The following is a 16,445-nucleotide window of genomic DNA, read 5'->3' on the forward strand; positions in this document are numbered from 1 at the left end:
CACCCCACAATCTTTTTATCACCTCCCCTCCTCACCCGGTCTGGCTTACAGTTTTGTTCCGCGACTAGCCCTCCCCCACCTGCCCAGCAATTTCCTCTGAGAGAGGTGGCTGGAGCTAAAGGCATAGTCAAGGTTAATGCTCCTTTTCTCTTTATCCGACCTCTCCCAAATCAGCTAGGATTTAGGCTCTTTTTCATCAAATATAAAAACCCAGCCCAGTCCATGGCCCATTTGGCAACAACCCTTAGACATTTTACTGCCCTAGACCCATAGGGGTCAGAAGGCCGTCTTATTCTCAGTATGCATTTTATTTTATTACCCAATCTGCTCCCGACATTAACTAAAGCTCCCAAAATTAAATTCCGGCCCTCAGACCCCACAACGGGACTTAATTAACCTCACCTCCAAGGTGTACAATAATAGAGTAGAGGCAGCCAAGTAGCAATGTATTTCTAAGTTGCAATTCCTTGCCTCCACTGTGAGACAAACCCCAGCCACAGCTCCAGCACACAAGAACTCCAAACGCCTGAACCACAGCTGCCAGGGGTTCCTCCAGAACCCCCTCCCCCAGAAGCAAGTGCTGGAAATCTGGCCACTGGGCCAAGGAATGCCCGCAGCCCAGAATTCCTCGTAAGCCATGTCCCATCTGTGTGGGACCCCACAGAAAATTGGACTGTTCAACTCGCCTGGCAGCCATTCTTCCGGGAACTCTGGCCCAAGGTTCTCTGACTGACTCCTTCCCGGATCTTCTCATCTTAGCGGCTGAAGACTGATGCTGCCTGATTGCCTCAGAAGCCTCCGGGACCATCGTGGATGCCGAGCTTCTGGTAACTCTTACAGTGGAGGGTAAGTCCGTCCCCTTCTTAATCAACATGGAGGCTACTCACTCCACATTACCTTATTTTCAAGGGCCTGTTTCCCTGGCCTCCAAAACTGTTGTAAGTATTGACGGCCAGACTCCTAAACCTCTTAAAACTCCCCAACTCTGGTGCCAACTTGGACAATATTCTTTTATACACTCCTTTTAGTTATCCCCACCTGCCCAGTTCCCTTATTAGGCTGAGACATTTTAACCAAATTATCTGCTTCCCTGATTATTCCTGGGCTACAGCCACACCTCAATTGCCATCTTTTGCCCCAATTCAAAGCCTCCTTCACATCCTCTCCTTATATCTCCCCACCTTAATCCACAAGTACAGGATACCTCTACTCCCTCCTTGGTGACAGATGATGCACCCCTTACCGTCCCATTAAAACCTAATCACCCTTACCCCACTCAATGCCAATATCCCATCCCACAGCACACTTTAAAAGGATTAAAGCCTGTTATCACTTGCCTATTACAGCATGGCCTTTTAAAGCCTATAAACTCTCCTTACAATTCCCCCATTTTACCTGTCCAAAAACCGGACAAGCCTTACAGATTAGTACAGGATCTGCACCTTAACAACCAAATTGTCTTGCCTATCACCCCATGGTGCCAAAGCCATATACTCTCCTATCCTCAATACCTCCCTCCACAACCCCTCCATAACCCATTATTCTGTTCTGGATCTCAAACATGCTTTCTTTAGTATTCCTTTGCACCCTTCATCCCAGCCTCTTTTTGCTTTCACTTGGACTGACCCTGACACCCATCAGGCTCAGCAAATTACCTGGGCTGTACTGCTGCAAGGCTTCACGGACAGCCCCCATTACTTCAGTCAAGCCCAAATTTCTTCCTCATCCATTACCTATCTCAACATAATTCTGCATGAAAACACACGTGCTCTCCCTGCTGATTGTGTCCGGCTAATCTCCCAAACCCCAACCCCTTCTACAAAACAACTCCTCTCCTTCCTGGGCATGGTTAGGTACTTCCGCGTTTGGATACCTAGTTTTACCATCCTGACTGAACCATTATATAAACTCACAAAAGCAAACCTAGTTGACCACACAGATCCTAAATCCTTTCCCCACTCCCCTTTCCATTCCTTAAAAAACAGCCCTAAAAGTTGCTCCCACACTGGCTCTCCCTAACTCATCACTCCGTTTTCATTACACACAGCTGAAGTGCAGGGCTGTGCGGTCGGAGTTCTTACACAAGAGCCAGGACCGCTCCCTGTAGGCTTTCTGTCCAAACAACTTGACCTTACTGTTTTAGCCTAGCCCTCATGTCTGCGTGTGGCAGCTGCCACTGCCTTAATACTTTTGGAGGCCCTCCAAATCACAAACCGTGCTCAACTCACTCTCTACAGCTCTCATAACTTTCAAAATCTATTTTCTTCCTCACACCTGACACATATACTTTCTGCTCCCCAATTCCTTCAGCTATACTCACTCTTTGTTGAGTCTCCCACAATTACCATTGTTCCTGGCCTGGACTTCAATCTGGCCTTCCACATTATTCTGGATACCACACCTGACCCCCATGACTGTATCTCTCTGATCCACCTGACATTCACTCCATTTCTCCTTATTTCCTTCTTTCGTGTTCGTTACCCTGATCACACTTGGCTTATTGATGGCAGTTCCATCAAGCCTAATCACCACTCACCAGCAAAGGCAGGCTATGCTATAGTATCTTCCACATCTATCATTGAGGCTACTGCTCTGCCCCCCTCCACTACCTCTCAGCAAGTCAAACTCATTGCCTTAATTCGGGTCCTCACTCTTGTAAAGGGACTACTCATCAATATTTATGCTGACCCCATATCCTGCACCACCATGCTGCTTTATGAGCTGAAAGTTTTCCTCACTACACAAGGGTCCTCCATCATTAATGCCTCTTTAATAAAAACTCTTCTCAAGGCTGCTTTACTTCCAAAGACAGCTAGAATTATTCACTGCAAAGGCCATCAAAAGGCATCAGATCCCATCACTCAGGACAATGCTTATGCTCATAAGGTAGCTAAAAAAGCAGCTAGCGTTCCAACTTCTATCCCTCACGGCAGTTTTTCTCCTCATCTAGTCACTCCCACCTACTCCCCAACTGAAACTTCCACCTATCAATCTCTTCCCACACAAAGCAAATGGTTCTTGTACCAAGGAAAATATCTCCTTCCAGCCTCACAGGCCCATTCTATTCTGTCATTTCATAACCTCTTCCATGTAGGTTACAAGCCGCTGGTCCGCCTCTTAGAACCTCTCATTTCCTTTCCATCGTGGAAATCTATCCTCAAGGAAATCACTTCTCAGTGTTCCATCTGCTATTCTACTACTCAGGGATTGTTCAGGCCCCCTCTCTTCCCTACACATCAAGCTTGGGGATTTGCCCCCACCCAGGACTGGCAAATTGACTTTACTCAACATGCCTCGAGTCAGGAAATTAAAATACCTCTTGGTATGGGTAGACACTTTCACTGGGTGGGTAGAGGCCTTTCTCACAGGGTCTGAGAAGGCCACCATGGTCATTTCCTCCCTTCTGTCAGACATAATTCCTCGGTTTGGCCTTCCCACCTCAGTTTCTGAGGCTCTTGGTATTTAGTGGCTCCTGGTTTTACCTCAAATCGCCACCCTTAAGTCTATCTAGAAGTGGATAGAAGATCTTCAGTGATAAAGTACCCTCCAATACTTTCACCCTGATGAAGTCCTATTCTTTACTTTTATACTTACTCTTATTCTCGTTCCCATTCTTATGCCACCCTCTACCTCTCCCCAGCTATCTCCACCACACTATCAATCTCAGTCACTCTCTCCTAGCCCTTTCTAATCCTTCTTTAACAAACAATTGCTGGCTTTGCATTTCTCTTTCCTCCAAATTCGAGGAGGCCCTAACTTACTCACTGCTAAAAAAAAAAAAAAAAAAAAAAAAAGGTAGGGGGGACTCTGTATATTTTTAAATGAAGAAGGTTGTTTTTACCTAAATCAATCTGGCCTGGTCTATGACAACATAAAAAAACTCAAGGATAGAGCCCAAAAACATGCCAACCAAGCAAATAATTATGCCGAACCCCCTTTGACACTCTGTAATTGGTTGTCCTGGGTACTCCCAATTCTTAGTCCTTTCATACCTGTTTTTCTCCTTCTTTTATTCGGACCTTGTGTCTTCCAAATAAGAGAATAACAATGCTCCTTCTAACAACCCCACAATATCACTCCTTACCCCAAAATCCTTCTTCAGTTGAATATCTCCCCCTGTAAGTTCCCACGCCACCCCAATCCCGCTCGAAGCAGCCCTGAGAAACATCACCCATTATCTCTCCATACCACCCCCAAAAATTTTCACCGCCCTAACACTTTACCACTATTTTGTTTTATTTTTCTTATTAATATAAGAAGACAGGAATGTCAGGCCTCTGAGCCCAAGCTAAGCCATCATATCCCCAGTAACCTGCATATATACATCCAGATGTCCTGAAGCAACTGAAGTTCCACAGAAGTGAAAATAGCTTAACTGATGACATTCCACCATTGTGATTTGTTTCTGCCCCACCCTAACTGATCAATGTTCTTTATAATCTCCCCCACTCTTAAGAAATTTCTTTGTAATTCTCCCCACCCTTGAGAATGTACTTTGTGAGATCCACCCCCTGCTCCCAAAACATTGCTCTTAACTCCACCGCCTATCCCAAAACCTATAAGAACTAATGATAATCCCACCACCCTTGCTGACTCTCCTTCGGACTCAGCCCACCTGCACCCCGGTGAAATAAACAGCCTTGTTGCTCACACAAAGCCTGTTTGGTGGTCTCTTCACACAGACTTGCGTGAGACAACCCTCACAGGGGAACCTGAAGGTCTAGATCACAGGAGGAGATTCTGACATTAACTGCAGCTGAGTCAATTTAGAGAGCTGAGTGAAATACAGGGGTAGAGGAAGCAGCGGGATAAGCCCTGTGGGCTCTCTGGGTCTCCGGGGAAGCCATTTCTGCCTTGCCTCACAGGAGTCCTTGGGGAGGGCTGCCAGAGGAACTGGGAAAAGACCACAGGGAAAAGGAAACCTCCAGCTGAACTGTGTAACAATTCCAACAGAATGCAAAATCTCCTGGCCAGAACTCCGGGGAGGGAGTGATTCTGGTGTGCAGACTCCAAAAGCAGGCAGACACGAAAGCCCTGCTTGCTTTTGCAGCTGGGAGACTGGTAGCCTGCAGCAAGTTCTCAGCCCTGCTCGCCCACTGCTGGAAACAGACTTGGTGCTGTTGGGAGTCGGGGGAAAGGTGGGAGTGAGACCAGCCTTTTGGGTTGCATGGGAGCTGGGTGAGGCCTGTGACTGCCAGCTTTCTCCCACTTCCCTGACAACCGGCATGACACAGCAGAGGCAGACATAATCCTCCTGGGAACATTACTCCATTGACTTGGGAACCACACTCCCATCCCCCAAAGCAGCCGCAGCCAAGACCTGCCCAAAGACAGTCTGAACTCAGACACTTCTAGCCCTTCCCCGACCTGATGGTCCTTCCCTATGTACCCTGCTAGCTGAAGACAAAGGGCATATACTCTTGGGAGTTCTAGGCCCCTACCCACCACCTGATCCTCCCTATAATACCACAGCTGATGCTCTCTTGAAAGCACCACCTCCCGGCAGGAGACCAACCAACACAAAAATAGAGCATTAAACAACCAAAAATAAGGACCCTCACAGAGTCCATTTCACTCCCCTGCCACCTCCACCAGAACAGGTGCTGGTATCCACGGCTGAGAGACCCACAGACGGTTCACATCACAGGACTCTGTGCAGACAACCCCCAGTACCAGCCCAGAGCCTGGCAGACCTGCTGAAGAGCTAGATCCAGAAGAGAGATAATAATCATTACAGCTCAGCTTTCAGGAAGCCATATCCATAGGAAAAGGGCAAGTACTACATTAAGGGAACACCCCATGGGACAAAAGAATCTGAACAGCAGCTTTGAGCCCTAGACCTTTCCTCTGACATAGACTATCCAAATGAGAAGGAACCAGAAAAACAATTCTGGTAATATGACAAAGCAAGGCTCTTTAACAGCCCCAAAAAATGACACTAGCTCACCAGCAATGAATCCAAACCAAGAAGAAATCTATGATTTGCCTAAAAAAGAATTCAGAAAATCAGTCATTAAACTAATCAAGGAGGCACCAGAGAAAGATGAAGTCCAAGTTAAGGGAATTTAAAAAATGAGGCCAGGTGCGGTGGCTCACACTTGTAATCCCAGCAATTTGGGAAGCCAAGGCGGTCGGATCACCTGAGGTCAGGAGTTCAAGACCAGCCTGGCCAACATGGTGGTGAAACCCCGTCTCTACTAAAAATACAAAAATTAGCCCAGCGCTGTGACAGGCACCTATAATCCCAGCTACTCAGGAGGCTGAGGCAGGAGAATCACTCGAACCCAGGAGGCAGAGGTTGCAGTGAGCCAAGATTATCCCATTGCACTCCAGCCTGGGGGGACAAGAGCAAGACTTTGTCTCAAAAAAAAATAAAAAAATTAAACAATACAAAGCTGGGCACGGTGGCTCACTCCTGTAATGCCAGCACTTTGGGAGGCCGAGGCGGGTGGATCACCCAAGGTCAGACATTCGGGACCAGCCTGGCCAACATGGTGAAACTTTGTCTCTACTAAAAATACAAAAAAATTAGCCAGCCATGGGGGGCAGGTGCCTGTTATCCCAGCTACTTGGGAGGCTGAGGCAGGAGAATTGCTTGAACCTGGGAGGTGGAGACTGCAGTGAGCCAGGATCACACCACTGCACTCCAGCCTGGGCAACAACAGTGAAACTTTGTCTCGAAAAAAAAATATATATAAAAAAGCATACACGAAATGAGGGGAGAAATCGTCAGTGAAATAGATAACATAAATAAAAAATAATAAAAGCTTCAGGAAATAATGGACGCACTTAGAGAAATGCAAAATGTTCTGGAAAGTCTCAGCAATAGAATTGAACAAGCAGAAGAAAGAACTTCAGAGCCCAAATATAAGATTTTCAAATTACCCCAATCCAACAAAGACAAAGAAAAAAGAAGAAGAAAAAATGAACAAAGCCTCCAAGAAATTTGGGATTATGTTAAGTGACCAAACCTAAGAATAATTGGCATTCCCGAGGAAGAAGAGAAATCTAAAAGTTTGGAAAACATATTTGGGGGATTGAGGAAAACTTCCCTGGCCTTGCTAGAGACCTAGACATCCAAATACAAGAAGGTCAAAGAACATCTGGGAAATTCATTGCAAAAAGATCATCACCTAGGCACGTTGTCATTAGGTTATCTAAAGTTAAGACGAAGGAAAGAATCTTAAGACCTGTGAAACAGAAACACCAGGTAACCTATAAAGAAACACCTATCAGATGAACAGCACATTTCTCAGCAGAAACCCTACAAGCTAGAAGGAACTGGGGCTCTATCTTCAGCCTCCTTAAATAAAACAATTATCAGCCAAGAATTTTGTATCCAGTGAAACTAAGCTTCATAGATTAAGGAAAGATAGTCTTTTTCAGACAAACAAACGCTGAGAGAATTCGCCACTATTAAGCTAGCACTACAAAAACTGCTAAAAGGAGCTCTAAATCTTGAAACAAATCCTGGAAATACATCAAAACAGAACCTCTTATAGCGTAAGTCCCATAGGATCTATAAAACAAAAATACAATTAAAAAAGAGGCATACAGGAAACAAGTAGCACAATGAATGGAATAGTACCTCACATCTCAATACTAACACTGAATGTAAATGGCCTAAATGCTCCACTTAAAAGATACAGAATTGCAGAATGGATAAGAATTCACCAACCAACTATCTGCTACCTTCATGAAACTCACCTAACACAGAAGTATTCACATAAACTTAAGGTAAAGGAGTGGAAAAAGACATTCCATGCAAATGGACACCAAAAGCAAGCAGAAGTAGCTATTCTTATATCAGACAAAACAAAGTTTAAAGCAACAGCAGTTAAAAGACAAAGAGGGACATTATATAATGATAAAACGCCTTGTCAAACAGGAAAATATCACAATCCTAAACATATATGCACCTAACACTGGAGCTCCCAAATTTATAAAACAATTACTACTAGATCTAAGAAATGAGATGGACAGCAACACAATAATAGTGGGGGACTTCAATACTCCACTGACAACACTAGACAGGTCATCAAGACAGAAAGTCAACAAAGAAGCAATGGATTTAAACCCTTAAACAAATGGACTTAACAGCTATTTACAGAACATTCTACCCAACAACCGCAAAGTATACATTCTATTCATCAGCACATGGAACTTTCTTCAAGATAAACCATATGATAAGCCATAAAACAAGTCTCAATAAATTTAAGTAAATTGAAATTATATCAAGTACTCTCTCAGACCACAGTGAGATAAAACTGGAAATCAACTCCAAAAGGAACATTCAAAACCATGCAAATCCATGGAAATTAAATAACCTGCTCCTGAATGATCACTGGGTCAACAATGAAATCAAGAAGGAAATTAAAAAATTATTCTAACTGCACAACAGTGGTGACACAACATATCAAAACCTCTGGGAAACAGCAAAGGCAGTGCTAACAGGAAAGTTCATAGCCCTAAATGCCTACATCAAAAAGTCTGAAAGAGCACAAATAGACTACCTAAGGTCACACCTCAAGAAACTAGAGAAACAAGAACAAACCAAACCCAAACCCAGCAGAAGAAAGGAAATAACCAAGATCAGAGCAGAACTAAATGAAACTGAAACAACAACAACAAAATACAAAAGATAAATGAAACACAAAGCTGGTTCTTTGAAAATATAAGTAAAATTGGTAGACCATTAACAAGATTAACCAAGAAAAGAGGAGAGAAAATCCAAATAAGCTCAATTAGAAACAAAATGGGAGATATTACAACTGACACCACTGAAATACAAAAGATCATTCAAAGCTACTATGAAGACATTTATGTGCATAAACTAGAAAACCTAGAGGAGATAGATAAATTCCTGGAAAGATACAACCCTCCTAATTTAAATCAGGAAGAATTAGATACCCTGAACAGACCAATAACAAGCAATGAGATTGAACTGGTAATAAAAAAAGATACCAAAAAAAAAGTGCAAGACCAGATAGAGTCATAGCTGAATTCTACCAGACATTCAAAGAAGAACTGGTAACAACCCTATTGACACTATTGCACAAGACAGAGAAAGAGGGAATCCTCTCTAAATCATTCTATGAAGCCAGTCTCACCCTAATACCAAAACCAGGAAACGATATAACCAAAAAAGAAAATTACAAACCAATATTCCTGATGAACATAGATACAAAAATCTTAACAAAATACTAGCTAACCGAATCCAACAACATATCAAAAAGATAATCCACCATGATCAAGTGGGTTTCATACCAAGGATGCAGGGATGGTTTGACATACACAAGTCAATAAATATGATACAACACATAAACAGAATTTAAAACAAAAATAACATGATCATCTCAATAGATGCAGAAAAAGTATTTGATAAAATCCAGCATCACTTTATGATTAAAACTCTCAGCAAAATTGGGCATACAAGGGGCATACCTCAATGTAATAAAAGCTATCTATGACAAAACCACCGCCAACATAATACTAAATGGAGAAAAGTTGAAAGCCTTCCCTCTGAGAACTGGAATGAGACAAGGATGCCCACTCTCACCACTCCCCTTTAACATAGTACTGGAAATCCTAGCCAGAGCAATCAGACAAGAGAAAGAAATAAAAGGCATCCAAATCCATAAAGAGAAACTCAAACTGTCACTGTTGGCTGATGATATGATTGTATACCTAGAAAACTCTAAAGACTCCTCCAAAAAGCTCCAAGAACTGATAAAAGAATTCAGCAAAGTTTCAGGATACAAAATTAATATACAAATCAGTAGCTCTCTTATACACCAACAGAAACCAAGCTGAGAATCAAATAAAGAACTCAATTCTTTTTAAAACAGTTACAAAAAATTAAAATACTTAGGAATATACCTAACCAAAAAGGTGAAAGAACTCTGCAGGGAAAACTACAAAACACTGCTGAAAGAAATCATAGACAACACAAACAAATAGAAACACATCCCACGCTCATGGATGGGTAGAATCAATATTCTGAAAATAACCACACTGCCAAAAGCAATCTACATACAAATTCAATGCAATTCCCATCAAAATACCACCATCATTCTTCACAGAACCAGAAAAACGATCCTAAAATTCATATGAAAACAAAAAAGCACCTGCATAGCCAAAACAAGACTAAGCAAAAAGAACAAATCTGGAGGCATCATATTACCTGACTTCAAACTATATTATAAGGTCATAGTCACCAAAACAGCATGGTACTGGTATAAAAATAGGCACATAGACCAATGAAACAGAATACAGAACCCAGAAATAAACCCAAATACTTACAGCCAACTGATCTTCAACAAAGCAAACAAAAACATAAAGTGGGGAAAGCACCATTCAACAAATGGTGCTGGGATAACTAGCTAGCCACATGTAGGAGAAAGAAACTGGATCCTCATCTCTCACCTTATGCAAAAATCAACTCAAGATGGATCAAAAACTTAAATCTAAGACCTAAAACTATAAAAATTCTAGGGCCGGGCATGGTGGCTCACGCCTATAATCCCAGCACTTTGGGAGGCCGAGACAGGCAGATCACAAGGTCAGAAGTTTGAGACCAGCCTGACCAACATGGAGAAACCCCATCTCTACTAAAAATACAAAAATTAGGTGGGCATGGTGGCAAGTGCCTGTAGTCCCAGTTATTCAGGAGGCTGAGGCAGGAGAATCGCTTGAACCCAGGAGGCAGAGGTTGTGGTGAGCCGAGATCATGCCACTGCACTCCAGCCTGGGCAACAGAGCAAGACTCCATCTCAAAAAAAAAAAAAAAAAAAAAAAAAAAATTCTAGAAGATAACATTGGAAAAACCCTTCTAGACATTGGCTTAGGCAAGGATTTTGTGACCAAGAAAACAAAAGCAAATGCAGTAAAAACAAAGATAAATAGCTAGGACCTAATTAAACTAAAGAGCTTTTGCATGGCAGAAGGAACAGTCATCAGACTAAACAGACAACCCACAGTGTGAGAGAAAATCTTCACAATCATGATACATCCGACAAAGGACTAATATCCAGAATCTACAAAGAACTCAGACAAATTAGCAAGAAAAAAAAAAATCCCATCAAAAAGTGGGCTAAGGACATGAATAGACAAATTCTCAAAAGAAGATAGATCAATGGCCAATAAACATATGAAAAAATGCTCAACATCACTAATGATCAGGGAAATGCAAATCAAAACCACAGTGTGATACCACCTTACTCCTGCAAAAATGGCCATAATTTAAAAATAAAAAAAAATAGATGTTGGCATGGATGCGGTAAAAAGGGAACACTTTCACACTGCTGGTGGAAATGTAAACTAGTGCAAGCATTATGGAAAACAGTGTGGAGATTCCTTAAAGAACTAAAAGTAGAACTACCATTTGACCCAGCAATCCCAATACTGGGTATCTACCCAGAGGAAAAGAAGTCATTATATGAAAAAGATACTTACACACACAAGTTTATGGCAGCACAATTTGCAATTGCAAAAATATGGAACCAACCAGTATGCCCATCAATCAACGAGTGGATAAAGAAACTGTGGTGTATATATATAATAGAATACTACTCAGCCATAAAAAGGAATGAATTAATGGCTTTTGCAGCAACCTGGATGGGATTGGAGACTATTATTCTAAGTGAGGTAACTCAGGAATGGAAAACCAAATACCATACGTTCTCCCTCAAAAGTGGGAGCTAAACTATGAGGATGCAAAGGCATAAGAATGACACAGTGGACTTTGGGAACTCAAGTGGAAGGGGTGGGACAGGGTGAGGGATAAAAGACTACAAATTGGGTTCAGTGTATACTTCTTGGGTGATGGGTGCACCAAAATCTCACAAATCGCCACTAAAGAACTTACTTATGTAACCAAATACCACCTGTTCCCCAAAAACTGATGGAAATAATTTTTTTTAAAAAAAATCATTCTTGTAGAGTAATAAATGAGCCAGGGGGAAAATAAATGCAGAATAATCAGATGATGACAACTGAATTAAGGTAAGGGCTAAGGAAACAAAGAAGAAAGGGTAAATTCCAGAAATATTTAGGGAGTTGAATTAGTAGGACTTAGTAATCAATTGGAGCTTGTCAGGCTATGAGTTCTGTTAAGGACATAGGATTGATATCTTGTCACAGTTATATCTTCCAGTACAATATATCCAGGTTTATGATTAATTAATGGATAAATGAAAAAAAAAAGAAGTCCAAGGTTACTTCCAGTTTTTAGTGTGGACATCTAATGTTACTGATACTCTTACTACTGTATGGACATGAGCAGAGGAGCAGGCTTGGAAAGAGAAAGATAAGTTCTATTTAGCAAATAGTGAATTTGTGGCATCTGCTGGATAGCCAAGTGGAGATGTCTAATAGGCTTGGATTATGAGTCCAAAACTTGACAAAAGAGGTTGTATACAAGTGTCAGTTAATACTCTACAAAATAACTTAAAAAATTAGAGACTCCAGGCCGGGCACAGTGGCTCACGCCTGTAATTCCAGCACTTTGGGAGGCTGAGGCAGGCAGATCACGAGGTCAGGAGTTCGAGACCAACCTGACCAACATGGTGAAACCCTGTCTCTACTAAAAATACAAAACTTAGCTGAGCGTGGTGGTGTGTGTCTGTAATCCCAGCTACTCAAGAGGCTGAGGCAGGAGAATCACCTGAACCCAGGAGGCGGAGGTTGCAGTGAACCGAGATCACGCCACTGCACTCCAGCCTGGGCGACAGAGCGAGACTCCCATCTCAAAAAAAAAAAAAAATTAGAGACTCCATTTCCCTGATTCTCATAGGAAAAAAAAAAAAAATCAGTGAGACTATGTAGAAGGGCAAGAAAAGTGACTCATGAACACAATCCCGGAGAATATGAATGTTATTGAGTAAATAGAGATAGAAGAGCCCTAAAAGAAGACTAAGAAATAACAAACAGGGGCCAGGCGCGGTGGCTCATGCCTGTAATCCCAGCACTTTGGGAGGCCGAGGTGGGTGGATACCTGAGGTCGGGAGTTCGAGACCAGCCTGACCAACATGGCAAAACCCCATCTCTACTAAAAATACAAAATTAACCGGGCGTGGGGGCACATGCCTGTAATCCCAGCTGCTCAGGAGGCTGAGGCAAGAGAATCGCTTGAACCTGGGAGGCAGAGGTTGTGGTGAGCTGAGATCCCGCCATTGCACTCCAGCCTGGGCAACAAGAGCAAAACTCCAACTCAAAAAAAAAAGAAAGAAAAGAAGTAAGGAACAGGTAGGAAGAGAATTAGGCACCACCACCACCACTACTAGTACAAATAGTAGTAATGCTAATTATAATAGCAACAATAATCACAACAGTAACAGCAGCAGTAACAATGATGGTAGCTGTGGTTAAGATGAATAACTATATACCAGAAAATACACCAAGGACTTGACAATGATTATCTGATTTGTTCCTGAAAACCATGATGTAAAGTAGATTTTCTTATCTTCATTTCACGGATAGGAAAAGTAAGGGATGGTGAGTACATTGCCCCATGTTGTATAATCAGTAAGTGGCAGAGCTTGGATTCCAAACTCTGAAATCCAAGTAACTACTATATTGTGGTGTCATTTATTCTTTGGAGATGATGAATTCTAAGGCTCTTATTCTTCTTTCAAAATAAGGTCTTATTATTAGATCTTACACCGAATACTCTGATGATGAAATGCACCTACTGAATATCTAGGTAAACGTAAAATGCCACTTTAAATACATTGCCATTATTTTTGCTATAAATTATATGTATATGCCACAATACATTGCTATTCTTTTGGCTTCAAATATATTTAAGTATAGGTAAAATATGTTTAATGCAAAAGAATAACAACATATTATAGAAGTAGCATATATGGCAACAAGAACACAAAAGACCAGAGTAAATGGAGTTATATGGTTATATAAGGCTTACATTATTTACTTAATAGTAAAACAGTATTTGTAGTTTGTGATAAGTTAAAGATCAACATTGTAATCTCTAGAATACCCACTAAAAAATAACACTAAATAGGTGTAGCTAAAAATGTCCATAGATGAGATAGAATGGCATATTTTAAATTAATATATATTACCCAAAAGAAGGCAAGAAAACTGAAACAGAGAAACAAAGAACAAATAGAAAATAAATAATGAAATAGGACACTGACCAAAATTTGAAAACAGGCTGGGTGCGGTGGCTCATGCCTGTAATCCCAGCACTTTGGGAGGATAAGGCGGGTGGATGACAAGATCAGGAGTTCGAGACCAGCCTGGCCAATATGGTGAAACCCCGTCTCTATGAAAAATACAAAAATTAGCTGGGCGTGGTGGTGTGCACCTGTAGTCCCAGCTACTCGGGAGGCTGAGGCAGGAGAATCGCCCGAACCCGGGAGGTGGAGGCTGCAGTGAGCCAAGATCGCACCACTGCACTCCAGACTGGGTGACAGGGTGAGACTCCATCACAAAAAAAAAAAAAAAAAAAAAAAATTAAAAACAACCAAATGTCTGTTATAATAGCTATCCACTGCTGCATCACAAATTACCCAAAAAGTAAAGGGAAACAACGTTTATTATCTCAGTTTCTGCGGGTCAAAAATCTCATCAAAAAAGCAGCAGTATCTTCTCTCATAAGGTTCCAGTAAACGTGCTGATTGGATTTGGAGATCATCTCAAGGCTCTGCTTGGAGAAGGATTTACTTCCAAGTCTACTTACATGGCTGTTGGAAAGACTCAATTTTTCACAGACTGTTAGACTGATGGCCTGAGTTCTTCACTGACTGTTGGCCAGAGGTCTTCAGCTCCTTGACATGTGGACCCCATGACAGCTTGCTTTATCACAACAAGCAGGCCAGAAGAACCACAGAGAAGAAGAGACATGGAAGTCAAATGTTTTATATCCAAATCTTGGAAGTGACACGCCATGGCGTTTGCCATATTCTATTTATTAGAAAAGAGTTGCTAGGTTGAACCCATCCTCATAGGGAGGAGATTACACAAGGATGTGAATGAATACCAGGAGGTGAGGATCACTGGAAGCCATGAAAGAGGATACCTATTGCATCTGTCAGCAAGAAAATGGATTTTAAAAGTGTAATATTTTTATACAATGGAATCAGTTTTAAAAAAAAAAAAAAGCCACCAATACCCACAGCAACATAGATTAACCTCAAAAAATTTTACTCAATTATGTTGAGCAAAATATGAATTTCCAAAACAGGCAAAATTAATCTGCAATAACAGAAATCGGAACATTGCTTAACTCTGAGGGTTTGAAAGATGTCTTAATTTGTTTGTACTGTTGTAATAGAATACCGCAGACTGAGTAATTTATAATGAACAGAAACTTATTGGCTCACAGTTCTGGGGGCTCAGAAGTCCAATATCAAGGTGCCAACATCTGGCAAGGACCTTCTTGCTGCATCATCACATGACGGAAGAGCAAAAGGGCAAGAGAGGGAGAGAGTGCAAGACAGCATCAATCCATTCGTGTCTTAATCACCTCTTAAAGGTCCCACTTCTTAATACTGTTACAAGAGCAGGTACTTTTTTCTTTTTTGAGACAGAGTCTCACACTGTCACCTGGGCTGGTGTACAGTGGCACCATCTCGGCTCACTGCAATCTCCACCTCGTGGATTCATGTGATTCTTGGGCCTCAGCCTCCTGAGTAGCCATGATTACAGGCATGCGCCACCATGCCCAGCTAATTTTTTGTATTTTTAGTAGAGACTGGGTTTCACTATGTTGGCCTGGTTAGTCTCGAAATCCTGACCTCGTGATCCGCCCACCTCGGCCTCTCAAAGTGCTGGGATTACAAACATGAGCCACCGCACCCAGCCGGGCAAGTACATTTCTACATGAGTTTTGGAGGGAGCAAATATTCAAACCATAGCAAAGAATATTGCCTGGGAAGAAGCATGAGGAAAAGTTCTTAGGTGCTATAAGTATTCTGTCTTATTTTGTCTAAACTCATTGAACTGAACATGTAATGTTTGTGCATTTTATTGTATGTAAACTATATGCCCATAAATATAATAATAAAGAAAAATAAAAATAGATATTTAAAGAGTAATCTGGTTTTATTTCTTAAAAATAAAAGTAATATCAACATTCTGAACTTTTTTGGTCAATGTTAAATAAAACATATCAGCCTAATATCATCTTCTCCCAACACAAGAATCTAGACACGGTGAAGGAATAAATGAGAAAGACACTGAATCACCAGAAAACAACTATTAAAAATGGAATCAGTTTGCATGACATAATGTCTGACTAAAATATAGAAATAGAAGAAAGGCATCCCATTTTTCACTAATAATAAAATAAACCTAAGATTAGTCAACTACCAAGTATTACATGATGCTATTTTTCTCCAACCTTTTCTTATTTAAAAAAAAATCAAAGTACATGGTACACAGAAGCTCTTTGTAGAAAAGATGCCAAAAGCAGGAAGAGA

At 41.5% G+C, this 16,445-nt stretch overlaps 1 annotated feature.

Annotated features, from left to right (window-relative positions):
* Window positions 8,510-8,559: an enhancer, noted in NCBI's record as "active region_16635". NCBI's record gives its function as "activates an Ori minimal core promoter by ATAC-STARR-seq in GM12878 lymphoblastoid cells {active_cell/tissue: GM12878}" and the evidence as "EXISTENCE:reporter gene assay evidence [ECO:0000049][PMID:35858748]".

This window comes from Homo sapiens, chromosome 2, assembly GCF_000001405.40.
Source record: "Homo sapiens chromosome 2, GRCh38.p14 Primary Assembly".
Classification (NCBI taxonomy): domain Eukaryota; kingdom Metazoa; phylum Chordata; class Mammalia; order Primates; family Hominidae; genus Homo; species Homo sapiens.